Source organism: Homo sapiens, chromosome 5 (assembly GCF_000001405.40).
Source record: "Homo sapiens chromosome 5, GRCh38.p14 Primary Assembly".
NCBI lineage: Eukaryota > Metazoa > Chordata > Mammalia > Primates > Hominidae > Homo > Homo sapiens.
In genome coordinates, this window is record NC_000005.10 from 91229135 (window position 1) to 91250969 (window position 21835).

Genomic DNA, 21835 nt, shown 5'->3' on the forward strand with positions numbered 1-21835 from the left:
ATAGACAACTAATCAGTTTTAAATTACACACCATTCTGAGTAGCATGATGAAATCTTGCACCATCCTGCTCTGTCCTGCCCTGGACATGAATCTGGACATGAATCATCCCTTTGTCTGATATATTCACACTATACATGCTACCTGCTTGATACTGTATAGGAAAAAAACATAGTGTATGTAGTAGTCCTTTCTCATGCTGCTATAAGGACATACATTTTATAAAGAAAAGAGGTTTAATTGACTCACAGTTCCACAGGGCTTGGGAGGGCTCAGGAAATTTACAATCATGTCAGAAGGGAAAGCAAACATGTCCTTCTTCACATGGCAGCAGGAAGGAGAATGAGTGCCTAGCAAAGGGGGAAACCCCTTATAAAACCATCAGATCTTGTGAGAACGAATTCACTGTCATGGGAACAAGATGGGGGAAACCACCCCCATGATTTAACTATCTCCACCTGGTCCCTCCTACAACACATAGGGATTATGGGAACTACATTCAAGATGAGATTTGAGTTTGGACACAGCCAAACCATATTATTCTGCCCCTTGCCCCTCTGAAATCTCATGTCTTCACAATTCAAAACACAATCATGCCCTTCCAACAGTCCCTCAAAGTCTTAACTCATTCCAGCATTAGCCCAAAAGTCCAAGTCCCAAGTCTCATCTGAGACAAGTCCCTTCTACCTGTGAGCCTGTACATTCAAAAGTAAGCTAGTTACTTCCTAGATACAATGAGGGTACAGGCATTGGGTAAATACACCCATTCCAAATGGGAGAAATTGCCCAAAACAAAGGGGCTACAGGCCCCATCCAAGTCCAAAATCCAATAGGGCAATCATTAAACCTTAAAGTTCCAAAATGATCTCCTTTGACTCCATGTCTCACATCCAGGTCACACTGATGCAAGAAGTAGACTCCCATGACCTTGCGCAGCTCTGCCCCTGTGGCCCTGGAGGGTACAGCCCTCCTCCCAGCTGCTTTCATGGGCTGGTGTTGAGTGCCTGCAGCTTTTCCAGGTGCACTCTGCAAACTGTCCTGTTGGCGGATCTACCATTCTGGGATCTGGAGGACAGTGGCCCTCTTCTCACAGCTCCACTAGGCAGTGCCCCAGTGGGGACTCTGTGTGAGGACTCCATCCCCACAATTCCCCTTTCACATTGCCCTAGCAGAGGTTCTCTATGAGGGCCCTGTCCCTGCAGCAAACTTCTGCCTGGACATCCAGGTGTTTCCATACATCCTCTGAAATCTAAGTGGAGGTTCCCAAACCTCAGTTCTTGACTTCTGTGCATCTGCACACTCAACACCATGTGGAAGCTGCCAAGGCTTGGGGCTTGCACCCTCTGAAGCCATGACCTGAGCTGTTCCCTAGCCTCTTTTAGCCACGACTGGAGTGGCTAGAGCACAGGGCACCAAGTCCCTAGTCTGTACACAGCAGGGGGGCACTGGGCCAGGCCCAGAGGGCCATTTTTCCTCCGAAGCCTGCGGGCCTATGATAGGAGGGGCTGCGGTGAAGTTCTCTGACATGCCCTGGAGTCACTTTCCCAGTGTGTTGGCCATTAACGTTCAGCTCCTAATTACTTATGCAAATTTCTGCCCTGGGCTTGAATTTCTCCCTAGAAAATAAGTTTTTCTTTTCTGTTGCATTGTCAGGCTGCAAATTTTCCAAACTTTTATGCTCTGCTTCCTCTTGAATGCTTTGCCACTTAGAAATTTCTTCTGCCAGATATCATAAATCATCTCTCTCAAGTTCACAGTTCCACAGATCTCTAGGGCAGGGGCAAAATGCCTCAGTCTCTTTTCACAGCAAGAGTAACTTTACTCCAGTTCCCAACAAGTTCCCCATCTCCATCTGAGACCACCTTATCCTGGACTTCATTGTCCATATCACTATCAGCATTTTAGTCAAAGACATTCAAAAAGTCTCTAGGAATTTCCAAACTTTCCTACATCTTCCAGTCTTCTTCTGAGCCCTCCAAACTATTCCAACCTCTGCCTGTTACCCAGTTCGAAAGTTGCTTCCACATTTTTGGGTATCTTTGTAGCAGCACCCTACTCTGCAGTACAAATTTACTGTATTAGTTTGTTCTCATGCTGCTATAAGGACATACACAAGACTGGGTAATTTATAAGGAAAATTGATTGACTCACAGTTCCACAGGACTGGGGAGGCCTCCAGAAACTTACAATCATGGCAGAAAGGGAAGCAAACATTTCCTTTCTCACATGGCAACAAGAAGGAGAAGAATGAGTGCCCAGCAAAGGGGGAAGCCCCTTATAAAACCATCAGATCTCATGGCTGCGCACGATGACTCATGCCTGTAATCCCAACACTTTGGGAGGCTGAGGCGGCAGGCAGTTTACCTGAGGTCAGGAGTTCGAGACCAGCCTGGCCAACATGGTGAAACCACATCTCTACTAAAAATGCAAGAATTAGCCGAGCGTGGTGACAGGTGCCTGTAATCCCAGCTACTCAGGAGGCTGAGGCAGGAGACTCGCTTGAACCCAAGAAGCAGAGGTTGCAGTGAGCTGAGATCGTGCCACTGCCCTCCAGCCTGAGAAACAGAGTGAGACTCCATCTAAAAATAGATAAATAAACAAATAAATAAAAGATAAAACCATCAGATCTCGTGAGAACTAACTCACTATCACTAGAACAGGATGGTGTTGAACCTCCATGATTCAATTATCTCCACCGGGTCCCTCCCACAACCCATGGGGATTATGGGAGCTACAATTCAAGATGATATTTGGTTGGGGATACAGCCATTCCATATCAGTGTATATAGGATCCATTACTGTGCAGTTTCAGGCATCCACTGGGGTCTTGGAACTTATCCCCCATGGATAAGGGGGGACTACTCTACAAATGCTATCCCAACTTAAAATTATTTATTTATCATTTTACTTATTTTTTATATCTTTCCCGACTGGAAGATAAATTCCCTGAGGACAAGAACCTTCTCTCTTTTGTGTGCCACTCTATTATAGACATATTCCTGTGGGAAATTATGATCTTTCAGACATTATTCATCCATAATTCAAAAAACCTTTGCACATGAAACAACAGGCAAAGGTTTTAAAAGTACAAATTAATCAGAACAATAAAAACTTTCCAGGAAAATCAATAACATTTTAAGTTGGACACTGCTTAAAATACAACACTGCAGAGCAATAGATGGCATGGCTTTGTGAAAAAGAGAAAGACCTCGCCTTACTACTTACAATGGAAACACCTACAAAATTCTTTTTAATGGGCTATAAAAATAGATGTTCAAATATAGCTGCCTTGAACAATTTCTTTATGTGTTTATAGCTTTAACCCAGGGCCTCATCCTAAGAATTTTTGCTACTGATAATGAAGCTGTATTTTTTTAAAAATGAAAATGGTATGTACCTGTGATCTTTTAGGATGACAGTCTAATTAAGATTAGCAACTAGAGAGAAAGAAAACCCAAGCTAAACGTTTCTGTACTTTAGTAAATTCTACCCTCTATGGTCCTAATAGCAATAGCATGGCCACTTTGAGCAGTGCTGCAAGGCAGTTGCTCACACACACACTACTTAGCCATGAATGGGTGGCTTGAAGCCACCAGGAAGACAGGTTTAAATTGGCAACATCATTTTCCTGATTCGACCCTGTGACTAAAGCGTCCTGCTTTGGGATTTGGGTCAGTCAATCAGCAGGTATTTATCTGGTGCTTACTTTGTGCCTGGGATGCTGTTAACTCAGCAGAAAAAACATAAGCAAAGACAAAAAAGTTAGAGGCAAGAGAAAAAAAGCCAAAATAACAAAAACCGAGATTACAAAACACTGAAGACAGTGTTAGTACCGCTGCAAGGAGAAAGAGATAATTTAATGTTTACAGATACAAGAAGTGAAGAATTAACTCCACCTAAACTCTTGATTTAAATCAAATATGCCTGATAAACATATGCTAAATGCATTGGATACATATTTTAAAAACACATGTTTTAGTTGTTATTCCCCAGTGAGAAGTACAGGTGCAGCATGGCCTTTTATAATGATAATAGACAATTATATGCATTATCCTACCCTAAAAGTTCTCACTCCACTCAAACAGTTATTTGACAATGTTTATTAGCTCAAATATGAGGTACAGGCAAGCATTATCAGACAGTCCCTAGAACTGTGACTGATTCCTAAATCACTCTACTGAAAAGAAAAATGTGGTATCCAGGCCTGAGAGTCAGTCACTGTGAGGGTCTGACATTTACATTCAGAGAGGATCTGACCTGCTATTGCAGCTACTTTCACATCCTTGACCTTCAAATCTTCTCCTCTGACCTTGCATCCCTATTGCTGGGCCAGGAGAGACCAGATCAGACCGTGTGCACACATCTGCAGAAAGGTCACAGCCTCGAATATTTTACTTTATATGTAGGTCCAGTCCTCATAGCCATGAACCCTTGACATGTAAAACCACTATGATTTTGTACCAACAGGTATCTCAGCTAAGTTGCTGAGATGAGGTAGCCACTTACCACATTGTCTAGCCTCTTAGCAGTGGCCACAGCTCCTACCTCACAGAAGAAAATTGCAGTCAACCGCTGTATAACCAGGCCATGACTCTTTTCTCTTCTCTACCCATCTCAGAGTTTGTTCCTCTACTAAATTCTTCTTGGTTTCAAAAGCAGAGTCCCTACCCTCTCTTGCAATATTTTGTTTCATAAATTGTTTTCTCAAATATTATATTTCAATCTTACCTTCCTTCTGTCTATAAAACCATTAGCCTCATCTAATCTAAAAAATACAAATAAAACACTCTAACTCAACTCTGTATCCACTTCATAGTTGTGTACCCACTTCACGGGGATTCACAAGAACTACTCTGTTCCTCTGCCCCCTCTTTCCTCTTTCACAGCCAAACTGTGCAGAAGAATGGTCTTCAATCTCCAGCTACATTTCTTAATATTCCAGTTTCTCCCCAGTCTCCACCTATTTTCCTTATATCTCAGTTTCCCACATTTCCCTGGCAAAGCTCATCCACGACTTTCCTATTGCCAAATCCCTTAAGGTCCTTTTAGTTCTTACATTAAATTATCCATGTTTTTGCTATGGACAACTTGAAACTCTCCCCCTCCTCGCTTTCAGAGACATCAACTTTTCTGACTATTTCTTGTCTTCATTACTGGTGCCTGCTTTTTAAATGTTGGTGTTTCTTTTTTTATTACTCTAAAATTTTTCCCTGGGAAATTGTGCTGGTAACTTTTAGATCTACATGTCCTTCTCTACCTTTTAGATAACTAGTCCATATCCTTCCCCACATATCCAATTGCCTATTCTTCTCTCCATCTTGAAGTCCCAGATAAATTAAACTCAACAGATTCTAAGCAGAGTTCATCTTTCTCTCAAAAATTCCTCCTCAGTCTGTTGTCCTTATTTTAACAAATGTCATCACTACTTTTATCCCAATGGTTTCTTGCCTTCCATATTTTAATCTAGTCTGTTCCCTCTGCTGAGATTACACTTTTGTCCCACTTGTCTGCCTATGAATGCTTCCTCAACTTCAAGCTTGAGAATCACCTCCTTCATGGAGCACTCCCAGCCTGGCCAGGTAAAAGTGACCATTGCTAGCTGCCTGCTACCACCCTTAAAGAGATACCCCAAACAGTATGTGTAGCACTGAATTATGAAGGAGGAGCATGTTTTAGGGAGAAAGAAGAGCACATGGAAAAGCCCTACGATAAGAAGGAGTTTGGGCTTTTGAGGGACCACAAGAAGCTCTGTGGCTGGGTGGAGCACTAGGCCAAAGGGACAGTGGCATGAAACCAGCTAAGATTGTTGGAAACTTGAGGGATGGTGGAAGAATGGAGAAGGGAGGTGGGGTCCCAGTCATTCAGGACCTTGCAGGCCATGGTATAGCTTTTTCCATGCTATTCTAACTACCATGGGAAGCCAAGGACATTTCTAAAGCTGGGAGTGACAAAATCCAATGTAGATTTTAAAATGACCTCTCCAGCTGCAGTGTGAATAGATTTCAGAGAAGCAAGATTGTTAAAGAGGTGACTAGTTAGGAAGTCATTACAATAATCCAGCCAGAAAAAGATAGTCACTTAGCGTGGAGTAGTAGTAGGGATGACAGAGAACATAGTCAAAATTTTTGTCAAACTTTCTCGTACAAGCAAACAAATGAGACTGTGTTGCTTGATTAAACTAATAATCAGTTTCAGGATGTTCCATGGTCATTACTGGCTGCATCCTGTGACCATCTGGAGACCAGAATGACCAGCCAAGCCCCTATGTCTTTGCACACGCACAAAAACAACTTCTACAGAATTAATTGGCATGCTCCACAAAGTTTGCTGTGTTCTTTGAACTCTCTTGACCTTGGGAAAATGCTTTTCTCACAGAAAACTTTTCAGCCAATTGAGCTTGGACTCTTCTTAAAGGTCACATGGACTCTTGTATTGGAAATACTATTTGTACATTTGTATTTCCTTTGTTAGTTCCAGAGTCTACATTCCTCTCATAGAGCAAACAAAGGCTAAAGGAAGATCAATGAAGAAGAGAAATGAAGGACATACTGGAAATAAACTTCCTGAAGAAACTACATGGGAAACAAATGCCACTAAAACTACTAGGTAGAAATAATATCTATATGCCAGACAGAGCAATAAAAAAATCGATAATCACATACAGACAACTTTCATGAGATCTGTGTGCCTAGGAACAGAGTAGTAGGTAGTGTCAGAAGATAAAATTATAAAAAATTAAGTTTAAAGATTTCAAATGGCTTAGTTGTGATTCTAGAATCAGGCAACACTCCATCCCATAAAATAGAATAAGTGTTCCAATGAGTTGGACTGAGGAGGTTGGCTTTAGAGACAGAAAATGAGCTGAAGAAGACTGACATAAAGAACAAAAAGAGACTGATCATTTCAAAGTTGCTTTCCTTGTAAGACAGGGACAGGGAGACAGAATAATAAAGAGATAACTGATTGGTTAACACCAGTTTACTTCAGATCACTCCTTAATGTAAGGATTAAAACAAGAGGAACTTCATTATCATGCCAATTGAAGATTGCAACAGGCCTGTTAGAAAAATTAAGCTATTTTTCCCTCTTGATTTCTTGGAAAACCAGATAATAACTCAGTTTTATTTTGGTGAGTGTGGGTGACTCCATTTGTGGTTTTTAGTCTAATCTGCTGGGGCCTAGTGCAGGAGTTAATGGCCTCCTATAATGCTTGTTTAACAACTTCCCTCTTTTGGTGAGGTTCTCACCCAGGTGAGAGTGTGATCAAAACTAAAGGCATCGGCCAGGTGCGGTGGCTCATGCCTGTAATCCCAGCACTTTGGGAGGCCAAGACAGGCAGATCACCTGATGTCAGGAGTTAGAGACCAGACTGGCCAACATGGTGAAACTCCATCTCTACTAAAAATACAAGAAAGTAGCCAGGCACGGTGGCGGGTGCCTGTAATCTCAGCTACTTGGGAGGCTGAGGCAGGAGGAACACTTGAACCTGGGAGGCTGAGGCTGCAGTGAGCTGAGATCATGCCACTGCACTCCAGCCTGGGCAACAAGAGCGAGATTCCGTCTCAAAAAAAAAAAAAAATTAAAAAAAAAATTTTAAATCAAAACGAAAGGTATTAACACTACTCTTAGTTACCATCATTCTGGGTTTCCAGTCTCAACATGTCATTGGTAGGTTACAGTGTTCTCATGAAAATGCATTTCTTTGCACTGAAGGAAAACCATTTGATATTTGACAGATAGCTGTGTGCAAAAAGTTAAAACTTTTCAAGAAAAAATAATGCACCAGGCAGACTATTTGTATGACTATTAGGAAGATATTACCAAGAGTTTGGAGTATGCTCCTAAGCCAGGGTCTTGATGAATTGAACCACCTAAAATTGAATAGATCAAAGAATGAATCAGATGAGGATCTACCCATTTTAACCAAGTAGGCTGATCGTTAAGTTTTTGCAACTGTCTCCACAATACCCTATGTATTTATCTATGTGCAACAAGAAGTGTCAACTGCACAGATTCCTCCTTGTTCAGTAAATAGTAGGCAGCAATTCTATCATCTAGCAACACAGGAAAATGTCAAATTAAAGCAGAGAATACTAACTCTATAAAAGAGACCACTAGTACAATGTGAACAAACATTGTGTTAGGAATGTTGCTAATGTTACCCGTTAGGTACATTCAAAGATCTCTTAAGTCCTGTAAAGGTTTAGGTTTGAGCCAGGCATGGTGGTACATTCCTAAATTCCCAGCTACTCAGGAGGCTGAGGTGGAAGGATTGCTTGCACCCAGTTCAAGGTTGTAATGTGCCATGATTATGCTTGTGAATAGCCACTGCACTCCAGCCTGGGCAACATAGCAAAACCCCATTTCTTTTAAAAAAATGGATTTGACGTGACAGATTCAATGCTTTGTTAAGTTACTCACAAAAACTACTGACTGAAATTCTAACTACAGCATTATCCTGTCAAGTGGAAGAGATAAGCATAAATAACCAAAAATTAAGAAGGGTAAGAGTTGTCTGAGCTCAGGCATTTCAGACCAGCCTGGGCAACATGGTGAGGCCCCATCTTTACAAAATATAAAAGAAAAAAATTGTTAAAGAAAAATAAGAAGGGTAAGAGTCTTACTATGGTATGGAGTCTTATTCCTCTGGTTTTGTGAAAAGCTATCCACAGCATGAAGTCAGAGACTTATCCTAATTTGCAGTTTGAATATCTTCAGTTGTGGCATCAGACATTCTCACAAACTATCTGTGTGGCTCAAACATCAGGCATGAGACTTGTCCCTTGGAATGTATATTGAATTGTCAAACTTTGGCTATAGGGTTTCAGGAACAGAGCAGTTCTCATTCTTTGTTGAAGAGTTGTACCCAGATATTAGAGAAAACTAGAAAGAATTTGGAATCCAGTTTACAGATAGATCATAAAAATTCAAAGGCAATAAATAGGGCTACAAGCAAATAACAGATGTACTGTACTTTTCTTCTGAAACATAATTTTTCTCTCTACAGTTACCCCCATTTTTATTAAAGATAATCATGGTAAGACCAATATGATTGTAAAATAAGTTTAGCCTCAAACTTGGCCTGATATTTACATAAGTGCAGCAAGAATAGCCACATAAGCTCACTCCTTTTAAATTTGCTTTACTGTAAATTTTCACAAGGAAACTCAAATTGGACTTTTAAAAACCTCTTCATGCTAGGATGTCAAACCAAGGCAGATATCAGACTTTGCCTACAGTATGTAATATCTTGAAGTTCTCTGGCCTGCCAAGAAGTGATAACTGTTTATTCACTCTCTGAAGGGTTGGGAACTCCTGAAGCCAGGCATTCTATGCTCATTTTCAAATATGACATTCCAGTCAAAGCCTCAGTAATATATTCAATATTTCAACTGTACCTTGTTAAAGGATACAGTTAAATTCTTATTGAACTTATGTAAATACTCATATTTAACATAAAAATAAGAATACTCACTAATAGTTTCTGAATTTTGGAGAGATCAAGTAGGGAAGAAAAGCAAATGTTTCCATTTTTATGTACAAAAGAATACTTTATCAAATTGCTGTAAGCTGTACATAGCTGAAAAGAAAAAGAAATTCCTTAAATTTGAAAAACAAGACATGAAAAGAACCAGCATTGGCTCAAATTTTTAAAAGCCATGAAACCTCATACGTTTTCTTCATCAGTTCATTCAGTCTAATGTGATTAATTTTTGCTCTATTTAATCTTAGTTAGCAGCTTCACAAACGCATCAGTTTTGTTGTTATTGTTGTTTTTGTTGTTTTGAGACAGAGTGTCTCTCTGTTGCCCAGGTTGGAGTGCAGTGGTGCTATCTCGGCTTACTGCAACCTCTGCCTCCTGAGTTCAAGCAATTCTTGTGCCTCAACTCCCCAAGTAGCTGGGATTACAGCGCTACCACACCAGCCTAATTTTTGTATTTTTTCAGTGGAGACGGGGTTTCGCCATATTGTCCATCCAAGCTGGTCATGAACTCCTGACCTCAAGTGATCGGCCCACCTTAGCCTCCCAAAGTGCTGGGATTACAGGTGTGAGCCACCACACCCAACCCCATCAGTTTTTTCACTTGAGTTTTAGAAATTCCTACCCAGTTTAATAATATCTCAGTTATCAGAAACCTGTACTTGTCAGAATTCGTTCCATTCTCTTCATGAACCTCCTTGAAGATACAATGCTTTAAGATTGCAAAAGGCTTTCAGAAAAGCATCCGAATAAAGCAATTAACTGCAGGCAACAAGACATAAAATGGCCATGGTTCAAAATCTGATGAGCGTCCATAGTGACCCACTTGATAAGGAAATTTGGTTTTCTCTGTGGTGTACAACACTGGAACATAATAACCAAAATTATTACTGATAACATCATAATTTTTGAAATCTCATACGATTTTGGAGCACATATTAATAATATGTCCATACAAATATAACTCAAAGAAGGTTAAACATTTCTTATTTGACAATATTTCTTATATAATTTAACATATCAAATAAGCCTACTTCAGTTTAATACTTATTTAATAGATCATTTGAGAAGTTCTGGAACCCTGTGGAACATCTCAAAGTTAGTTCAAGGTTAAAAAGACTTAAATTGAGAATTTGATTTGGGGAAGTCTGTAAAAATAAAGGTTTCAAATGTTTGATCAAAAATAGGATCACACGGCCAGGCATGGTGGCTCACTCTTGTAATCCCAGCATTTTAGGAGGCCGAGGTGGGCAGATCACTTGAGGTCAGGAGTTCGAGACCAACCTGACCAACATGGCGAAACCCCATCTCTACAAAAAATACAAAAATTAGCTGGGCATGTTGACATACACCTATGGTCCCAGCTATTCAGGAGACTGAGGCAGGAGAATCACTTAAGCCCGGGAGGCAGAGGTTTCAGTGAGCTGAGATGGCACCACTGCACTGCAGCCTGGGGGACAGAGCGAGACTGTCTCTAAAGAAATACATATATAAATAAATGAAACTTTGACTAATATTTTCCAATTCTGAATCTGACAAGTCATTCTGAACTCCATTTTCAAATTTCATGGCCTTTCTATAACTAAAACCACTTCCATGTTTCCTTTTCTTTTTTTCTTCACCTAACATAATGGTGTGCTGGTAATGTTTAACAGACAGCTCTCCAGGGTAAAACAACAAGAACAACAACAAACCCTGATTTATTGTGTTCACCCATTTCTGTGGTATAACTACTCCTGTCTACCACGCCTGATTTCAAACTATCAATATGACGTCACTAAATGTGGAGTTGGAAAGACACACTCATGACTGGTTCTCATTAATCAGTTTACAGACGCGCCAGCACACCATTGATATAACATACCTCTTCACATCCCACTACAAGTCATATAGAATTTGGTCTGTGAAAAATTTTTATTTAACTGTTTAAGGCAGCTTTTGGGGTTGTAGTTGAGGAGATTGGACATAAGATATTTAGCTCTGGAATCTAATTGATAAACAAGACAACTGCCAAGGTACAGTTAATAGTGTTAATAATGATGATAATTTTCTACCTCAAAGGAAAAAACTAAAATTTTATTTGAATTAAAAAGTCCTAATATGTAAATTCCCCAATATATATTCTAAATTGACTATTATTTTTCATTGAGAAGTAAAGGCCTTATGAAATTTTATTCTTGGCATTCCTGTACAGAAATACCGGCTAGCTTTCGATCAGCTGGCCAGCATGTGATTAATATAAAAGTTTTATAGACATAGCAATATGTAACTATAATGACTTTGGGTTTTTTTTTTGTCAAAGGAGAAAATTGTGTTTTTCTTGATTATAACACAAAATAAACTATTTTTAAATTTTACACAAAATCCCCAACAATAAGAGTTTTAACAATCCTGGTAAACTAGGTTTAGAAATAGCAACATTTTAAACCTCCAAAATATTATACAATACATTAAGTCCATCTCATACTTATCAATTACACATGAAATTATATGAACAAACAATTTTTTTGCCATTACACAGATACGCTGTGACTTTCCTATCGTAGTCCCTGTATAAGCCAGAGAGAGAGTAGATAGTGGATAGTGGCCTTCGACGACATATAACTTGTTTAGTTATACATGCACACAGACACATGCATGCAAGCTGTTTTGGGATTTCGATTAGGATTTTATGAAGTCTAGAAATCAGCTTGGAGAAAATGATATTTTTATAGTGTTGAGTCTTCCGGTTCATGAACATGACATATCTCTCTGTTGATTTAGGCCTATAAAAACTTCTCTCAATAATATTTTATATATTTATGCATAAGGATCTTGCACATGGCCAGGTGCAGTGGTTCAGGCCTGTAATCCCAGCACTTTGGGAGGCCGAGGTGGATGAATCACTTGAGGTCAGGAATTCAAGACCAGCCTGACCAACATGGTGAAACACTGTCTCCACTAAAAATACAAATGTTAGCCAGGTGTGGTGGTGTGTGCCTGTAGTCCCAGCTACTCGGGAAGCTGAGACAGGAGAATCACTTGAACCCAGGAGGCAGAGGCTGCAGTAAGCCGAGATGACGTCACAGCACTCCAGCCTGGACAACAGAGCAAGACTCCATCTCAAAAATAAATAAATAAATAAAAAGACCTTGCACATCTTGATTGGCTCTAGGCATTTTAAATTTTTATGATGTTGTGAATTTTATATTTTCAAACTTGTATTTTATAAATGCTGCTGATGTGTAAATACAACTGATGCTTGCTCTGGGTCTAGATGCCTTTTGCAGATTAGGAAAGTTCTTATCCATTTCTTTTTCTTTCTTTTTTTTGAGATGGCGTCATCTCTGTCACCCAGGTTGGAGTACAGTGGTGCGATCTCAGCTCACTGTAACCTCCACCTCCTAGGCTCAAGTGATCCTCCTACCTCAGCCTCCTAAGTAGCTGAGACCATAGGTGCATGCCACCATGCTCAGCTAATTTTTTGTATTTTTGGTAGAGATGGGGTTTCACCATGTTACCCAGGCTGATCTTGAACTCTTGAGCTCAAGCAACCCACCTGCCTCAGCCTCCCAAAGTGCTGGGATTAGATAGATAGCACACCTGGTGTCTATCTATTTCTAATTTGCTAGAAGTTGAATTTAAATCATGTATGAGTATTGAAATTATTAAAAGATATTTCTGCATCTTTTAAGATGATCAAATCATTTTTCTCTTTTATTCTGCAAGTGTGATGAATTACATTGGTTAATTTTCAAAAGTTAAGTCAATTTACATTTCTTTAATAAACCCCACTTGAATGTAATATATATGCTTACATGGTAGTGTTGTTTATTTTAATTCTACATGCATATTTGTCAAGAACTATGAAAGATATGAGATTTTACTCTACTTGCAAGCTAGCAAGTTAGCCTGCCATAATTTCAGGGATGCAGGCAGAAGCTACAACATTCCTGAGTCAAAGATAAAGGACATTATTACTCATGGCACAGGAAGAAGTGTAAGCTTTGTGTTTGTGTCAATTCTCCTCACCCCCCCGAAAAGCCCATTGGGGTGACACGGAGTGGTCCAGGTAGATACTAGGCACATAGTGCATTTGCATCATAACTGAGAAATCCTGAGCAGACAAACTTACTGTGCTTTGGAGAGAGACACTATCTCTACCCCAAAGCTCCTTGCTGTACAAACATTCATTAAAAATAGTCTGAAACAAAACTTTTAGTGCCTTTGCTCACAAATCATGCAGGGAGGCCTATAAAGAATTGTCTTCCAATAATATTTAAATTACACAAGATACGATGATTAGTATATTTAGTCAACTTCCATTTAGGTACGCCCGCATATTTACCTTTCTCATTGCTCTTCTTTCTTTCTTGAATAGTTGATCTTCCATTAGGAATGATTTTCCTTCTGCCAAAAGAAGTATTTTCTTTATTGTAGGTCTGCTAGAGATCAATTATATCAGTTTTTGCTTAAAAAACAAATGTCATTATTTCATCTTCATTATTGGAGGATATTTTCCCTGTGTATAAACTATAGGTTATCTTCTTTGGGTTCTTTGGAAATATCATCCCATTGTTTTCTGGCTTTCATTATTTCTTTTGAAAAGTACTATGTCAAATTGTTTTCCTTGAAAGTAATCTGTCTTTTCTCTTCTGGCTGCTTTTAAAATTTACCTTATTATTGTTATTTACATCAGTTTTACAATGATGAGCCTAGGTATGAATTTCTTTTTATTTATCCTTAGGAATTATTGAATATAGGCTTATTGTTCTTTATCAACTTTGGAAGATCCTTAGCCATTATTTTCTCAAATATTGTTTCTGTCCTATTTCACTCTCCTCTACTTCTTGGATTCCACATGTATATCATATTTTCTCACTGTAATCTCATCATTTCTCTCTTTTTTTTGTCTGCCATTAATTGTGATTTATGATTTTCTGCATATTTTCTTCTGTCCTACCATTCAGATCACAGATTCTCTCTTCAATTGTGTTTAATCTGCTGTTAAATCCATATATTTTGTTCTTAATTTTAGTTACTGCATTTGCAAATTCTAGCTTTTCTATTTGATCCCTTTTCAGTTTACCATGGTTTAATATTTTTAGCTCTCAGCTATAATTCCAAATCTTGTCTTTTATCTCTATGAATGTAAGAAAGCATAGCTTTTAAAATCAATGTTTGAGGACCCTAATTTTTGGAGTGTTTGCAAGACTGTTTTTAGTTATTTTTCATGAAGTTCTGTCTTCTTAGAGTCTTGGTTATTTTCTATTGTGCATCAGAACTTGTGTTTTAAAAATTATATGTTGACATAATTTGAGGTCTAGCATAATGTCAACTTTACCCAGGAAAAAGTTTGCATTTGGGACATTTGGGACCTCTAGCAATCTGGAAACACTTAAGATAATTTCAGTGATAAAAGTAATTTGGAACTGGGCTACAGTCTTTGAGAGAGCCAGTTGGCTTCTACTTCACCCTTATTCCTGGCTATAGTTCTTTGGAGTTACAACCTTATGTGCAAAGAGTTTGATAAGCTTCCACTTGGGAAGGACTTTTATACCCCAGATACCTTTTCTGGAATTTTCAAATGTCTCTAGGAGAAAAGCAGCCTCAATCATAAGGCACAAGGTCTCTTGATTTTTATTTTTTCCAAATCGTGAACTAATTATGCCCTACTTCTTTAGCTTTCAGATACCTTCAAATGGATTTTCCCCCATCTTTTCTATTAAAACTCAGTAGGAGGTTTGGTCTGAATTACTAGTTTGTCACTACTGGAAATGAACATCTCTATTACTTAGTTTTTGTTGCTGTTGTTGCTGTTGTTGTTTTTAATCTCCAGATACTAAATTCTGATGTATAGTTACTGTTGAAGAACATGGAGTGGAAACAAGCTGTCATGTAACATTCCTTGTCCCCCACCTAAGCCACATACACATACCACCACTATCACCACCACCACTACAACTGTAACAACAGATGTGATTACTCTTCAGGATTCTAGTCAAGGCATTCAGCAGCCGGGCCCATACGTCAGCAGTAAAAGTTGATTGAGACTGACAGGATTGGAATGGGAGGTGAAAAGGGGTGCCAAGGGAAGCAGAATAGACAGGAATTGGGTAATTTTCTGGGGCATGTGTTGGGTAAAGTGGTGGTTCCACACCTACAAACTTGTGCTGCTCTGCTAAGTTGTATCAGGAAAAAGGAAGAGAAACAAAAAACAGATGTACCTTTTCCTCTAGGAAGCTCAACTCCTCTATACGTAAAGTTGTTTCCCTGTAGTAGTTTAACTCCACCACTAGGTCTCCAAAGATGGTGATGTTCCTTGCCACTTGGCGTCATTGATAAAGAGACTAACAATTAGAATTAGAATTTCCTCATTCGGTGGAAAAATCCATGCTTAGCACCGTGTTATTTCAAGCTGCATGATAGAAAAATGATATTAACTAAACAAAAACAAAACAAAAAAAAGGTCAATACACTTTGCTTTTTAAATTCTTTCTGATGAGATATTAAACTCATATATGACCAAATTTCCAGCTTTCCATTTTAGGGACTGTCAATCAGGAGCAGCATTGAGGAGCTAAATGTGGTCATGTCTGCACTCCAAGCCTGCTAAAAATGTTTTAGCTTCCAAACAGACAGAGTGACTGTTTCGTCAGCATGCAGCTGAGGGGTGAATGAGGACAGCCAGGCTGGGTACACTGCCACAGTTGCCTGTGCATGTTCACCTCACATCATAGGTTTTCTTTTCCCCCAGTGCACTCCGTCTTTCCCTCCTTTCTGCTTAACAAGCACTCGTACATTTAAATTTAATTGTAACTTCTTTGTATATCTGTGTGTATACTTGGGTGTGTTTTATATCTCTTTTCTAGAGATAAAGTTTATTAAGGGTAGAGATTGTGTCTTCTTCCCTTATAATTAAAGTGATCTGACCACAATCATGTGGATTATGGAGCGGGGCTACGATGCAGTTAGTTAATCCCCTCAGCTAGACTGAACTGAATAATTTCACCATGTGCATGGAGAACTCTGTTAAGCTAGAGTTATCACTGAGCCGCAGACATTTATTGAGCACCTTCTATGTGTCTAGAACTATCCTAGATTATGGAGAAAAAACACAAAAAGACTCAATCTTTACTTCCAATGTGATCACACCCTAATTATGAGTATAACTGTGTTTTAGGGAATAAGGCGGTGTGATGAAGACCACAACCATATAAATAAGTAAAACCAACAACGATATTTGAAAACACATAGAAAACACAAGCAATTCTTTTTGGGGGACTCCAAAAAGACTTCTGAGAAAAGATTACATATAAACTTTTGGTGATTACAAGCCTAACATGAGGGCAAACAGTAATAAAGAACTCCAAGCACAGAGAACAAGACATGTACAGATTAAAAGGTGAGAGAGAGGACTATATGTTTGGGGGTTAGGCTAATGGGTTTCATGAAAAAAGCATAGAAGAACAGTAGGGGTCAGAGTTTTAATGCTTAACAAAATCTGTGGATATCTCCCAGAAATGTAAGTCCAGAAAATTCATCTTATTTCTGTCCTGATAATTCTCGAAGCATCACCATACTGGTTCCCAAACTAGCTCACAGCATGTCATTAACATAAAACAGCCTTGGAGCAAGGATGCTCAAGGAATCTGGGAATCAATTCTCCTGGTTTGAATCAGATTTGACATATTATAAATTCAACTGCAATAGATGGGTTATAAACTATTTCACTGATTTCTTACTCATTTTTTTCATTTCATTTCGCAAATTTACATTTTCTAAATCCATTAGAGTCCCTAGAGCCCTCCTTGGTGACAGAGATAATGCTATGTATTCACCAATTCCTTTTCCTCAGCACACAAGAAGACTATATTTCTTGACCTCCTATAAATTCATTTTTATTTTATTTTATTTATTTATTTATTTTATTTTTTTGAGACGGAGCCTCGCTCTGTCACCCAGGCTGGAGTGCAGTGGCACAATCTTGGCTCACTCCAACCTCCGCCTCCCAGGTTCAAGCTATTCTCGTGCCTCAGCCTCCTGAGTAGCTGGGACTACAGGTGTGCACCATCACACCCTACTAATTTTTGTAATTTTAGTAGAGACGAGGTTTCACCATGTTGCCCAGGCTGGTCTCGGATTCCTGACCTCAAGTGATCTGCCAGCCTCCATCTCCCAAAGTGCTGAGATTACAGGCATGAACCACCATGAACGGCCTCTTGGCCTCATATAAATTTGACTGGGGCAAAAATCTGGCAATAAAACATAAACAGAAGTGTTGCCTTGAAAACTTCCTTCTTAGTCCTACAATTCTTCCTACAGATACTTCTGTAATGCCTTTGAAAGCCAAATGTTCCAGGTACTGGAGCTCTGCAACGTAAGCACACAAAATACAAGACCACCGCTTGGAAGAGAATCTCTGGGAAGACCTGACTATTCCATAAAGAACTGTGATGTGAACAAGAACTAAACGTTGCTGTGTACGCCATTGAGATAGCTTACCATATCCCCACTGCCTGGAGTGGAGATGGGATGCAGCGGATTGAAATCTACAAATTCTAGGGGGTCTAAAGCTTCAGACTTAATGGTTTAGTACAAATGATAAAAGATAGGCCAGGTGTGGTGGCTCACATCTGTAATCCCAGCATTTTGGGAGGCCGAGGTGGGCAGATCAGGAGTTCAAGACCAGCCTAGCCAACATGGTGAAACCCCGTCTCTACTAAAAATACAAAAAACAGCCAGGGTGTGGTGGTGGGCACCTGTAATCCCAGCTACTTGGGAGGTTGAGGCAGGAGAATTGCTTGAACCTGGGAGACACAGGTTACAGTGAGCTGAGATCACCCCACTACACTCCAGCCTGGGCAACAGAGTGGGACTCTGTCTCAAAAAAAAAAAAAAAAAGATAAACATGAGGGCCTATTAACTATTGCAGTTCTTATTTGAGACCCTCCTCCAACCAGAAACAATTTTGTTCTCTTTAATGAGGCAACTAAGAAAAAGGAAAATAGTAAAGAAACTTGCTTTCCTTGGTCTTAATTATGGATGAGGGTGAGAGGTCTCTCTCGGTAATATGTAACCTCAAGTGGCCCTCAACCTGAACTTAGGGTCAGAATTTACACTCTCTGTATGGCTCAAAGTGCCCAAACTAAAAATTTACATTAAAATGGTTCTAGGTTGGCAGTGTTTCCAAGTGGTACTGATAGAAGAACTTGTAGATGTTTTAAATTTAGGTCGCAAAGAGCTTTCACAGATAAACTTCCAAGGAACAAGAGTACAGATTGGAAAAATCTCAAAACAACAACAAAAGAAGCCACGGAGAGCAAGAGAAACAAAAACAGAAAGAAAGCAGAATGGTAACAGAAGCAAATCTGCAAAGACATAGATTCTGAAATGATAATAAGCATGTCGAATGTGTTTAAAGAGGTTATTTTTGGCCAGGCACGGTGGCTTACGCCTGTAATCCTAGCACTTTGGAAAGCTGAGGCGGGCAGATCACAAGGTCAGGAGTTCGAGACCAGTCCCCGAACATGGTGAAACCCCGTCTCTACTAAAAATACGCAAAATTAGCCAGGCGTGGTGGTGCACACCTCTAGTTCCAGCTACTTAGGAGGCTGAGGCAGAAGAATCGCTTGAACCCAGGAGGCAGAGGTTGCAGTGAGATGAGATTGAGCCACTGCACTCCAGCCTGGGTGACAGAGCTAGACTTCCTCTAAAAAAATAAAAAAATAAAAAGTGGCTGATAATATTCTGGAATTGATAAAAGACACAAATCATCACATTCAGGAACATAAGAAACCCAATGCAAGGTAAACAAAACCTACACTTAAACCCATCCTAGCTAAACTGCAGAACACCAAGACAAACGAAAAGGAAGATTTGTCTACAAGGACAAAAAGGATGAGAAATTTGAATAGGAATCTGAAACCAAATGGGTTCAACATAATTCAGGAAGCTTCATACTCTACAATGACTGTAGAGGAATTAAAAAAGCAATGCAATGTATGCCTCCAAACCCACAAACAGCTCCCAGTAATCGTGTCTGGTAATTTTGGAAGTGGGAATAAAGTTGGGCCTTAAGAAGGAAGATTGAGTCAATGTTTAAGAAGCAGTTATATACCCAGAGTCTGGCAACTCCTTGTAGTCAAGGGATTGCCATTTTCTTACTCCAGCACAACACTGAAGGTTCATCACCTAGAAAGAATAGAACAGTATTTCTTGACCAGAGGGCACAGGGCACTGTGAGAGCAGGCTACCATATTGAAAACAGATTAAATAAAATGGGTACATACTAAAGATTGAGACACTACCATTTCTCCACCAGCCTTCTGACTGAAACATTAGCCACCAGTTTTTACCTGCAAGGCAGGAAAATGGAAGACTCTCTTCCAGGTGTCATAAAAATACTTATGGGCACTATAAGGTATATATACATAGATCTTATATTATATATGTTATATATGTTATATATAACATATATGTTATATATAATATAAGATATACTATAGTCAGGGCTTCCCGAATAAAATGTTGCAGCCAAAACATCTCATAATAAATCTCCTGGTCAGTAAGTCCCATACATGGACATGGAACTCTAAATTATCTTTTTTTTTTTTTTTGAGACAGGGTTTCACTCTGTCACACAGGCTGGAGTGCAGTGGCACAATCACAGTTCACTGCAGTCTCCTCCCTTGGGGGCTAAAGTGATCCTCCCACCTCAGCCTCCCTCGTAGCTGGGACAATAGGCACGAGCCACTACACCTGGCTAATTTTTGTATTTTTGGTAGAGATGGGGTTTTACCATGTTGCCCAGGCTGGTCTTGAACTCCTGGCCTCAAGTGATCCACCCACCTCAGCCTCCCAAAGTGTTGGCATGAGCCACCATGCCCAACCCAAATGATCTCTTTAATGCTCCATTTTTAGTGAGAGCAGGCGGCCAAGGATCACTATGAAATACTGAGGAATATGTGAAAGAGAAACCAAAACAAAGAAACGAGAAAAAAAAATGTTCTCAAGGAAACGGAGACCGTGCAAAGAGAAGAAAAATAATTTTTAAGTTTCTTATATCTTCAGAGAGATAATATAGAACAGCCATAAAAGAATAGGATACTTTGTTAAAAAGACAGGAATAAAGGAGCTATTAGAAATTATAAATATGGGCAGGGCATGATGGCTCACACCTGTAATCGCAGTACTTTGGGAGGTGGAAGTGGGTAGATCACTTGAGGTCAGGAGTTCAAGACCAGCCTGGGCAACATGGTAAAACCTCATCTCTCCCAAAAATACAAAAATTAGCCAGGAGTGGTGGCTCATGCCTGTGGTCCCAGCTACTTGGGAGGCTGAGATGGGAGGATCACTTTTGACCTGGAAGGAGAAGGCTGCAGTGAGCCAAGATCACACTATGGCACTCCAGCCTGGGCAACAGTGCAAGACCCTGTCTCAAAAAACAAAAGAAAGAATAAATATGTAAATATGATAGAAATAAGAAGTTGGAAGGGCATGAAGATAAAGTTGAGAAAATCTCCCAGAAAGTAGAGCAAAAAGGCAAAGAGATAAGAGAGAAAAATGAAAGAAAGTTAGGACATCAACCCATCATGTCTACCCTGAAATAATAGTAGAGAACATAGAAAATGTTCTGGAGAAAAATCATCAAAAAAGTAATCTAATAACATTCGCAGGGCAGAAGCTCATGAATTTCCAGATTGAAAGGACTCATAGAGTGTGCTTGGCACACTGATAAAAATAAATTCATACCAAGGTACATCGTTGTGAAATGTCAGAACCCTGGGGGCAAAAGTTTCCATAGAAGGGAAAAGTAGATTATATACAAAGGAAAAGGAATCAAAATGGCATCAGGTGCCTGAACAGCAAAATGGGAAGCCAGAAGATAATGGAACAATGTCTTCTTCTTCTTCTTTTTTTTTTTTTTTTTTTAATAGAGACAGTCTTGTTGTGTGCCCAGGCCGATTTTTGAGCTCCTGAGCTTAAGCAATCCTCCTGCCTCGGGCTCCCAAAGTGCTGGGATTACAGGTGTGAGCCACCACGCCTGACCGGAACAATGTCTTTAAAACTTCTGAGGTAAAATTATTTCCAACTTAGAATTCTATATTCAGTCAAACTGTCAACCATTAGAGAGGGAAACACAGAAGCCTCCTAAGATAGAAGGAATGTTCTATTTTTTAAAGTTTGCTAAAGAGTACATGCACATTCATCTTATTCCTTAAGCTATTATAGGTATGTTCTATACACTATTAAAACTGTCTATAAGCTGGGCGTGGTGGCTCACGCTTGTAATCCCAGCACTCTGGGAGGCCGAGGCAGGTGGATCACTTGAGGTCAGGAGTTCAAGAACTGCCTGGCCAACATGGTGAAACCTG

At 39.6% G+C, this 21835-nt stretch overlaps 2 long non-coding RNA genes across 2 annotated transcripts in view; both read right to left on the minus strand.

Moving 5' to 3' along the window:
- The window catches only part of LOC107986432 (uncharacterized), a 113452-nt gene that overhangs the window by 77313 nt on the left and 14304 nt on the right, over positions 1–21835 (minus strand). Inside the window, exons 2-3 of the long non-coding RNA XR_001742795.2 lie at positions 15686–15876; positions 13807–13868 (exon numbers count right to left, since the gene is read on the minus strand). This is a non-coding gene — a long non-coding RNA (uncharacterized LOC107986432). The remainder of the gene's footprint in view (positions 1–13806; positions 13869–15685; positions 15877–21835) is intronic.
- LOC107986433 (uncharacterized) lies at positions 7649–9644 on the minus strand. The gene is made up of 3 exons (XR_001742801.2): positions 9474–9644; positions 8623–8881; positions 7649–7869 (listed from the first exon to the last, which is right to left on the minus strand). It is a non-coding gene; the product is annotated as an uncharacterized LOC107986433 (long non-coding RNA).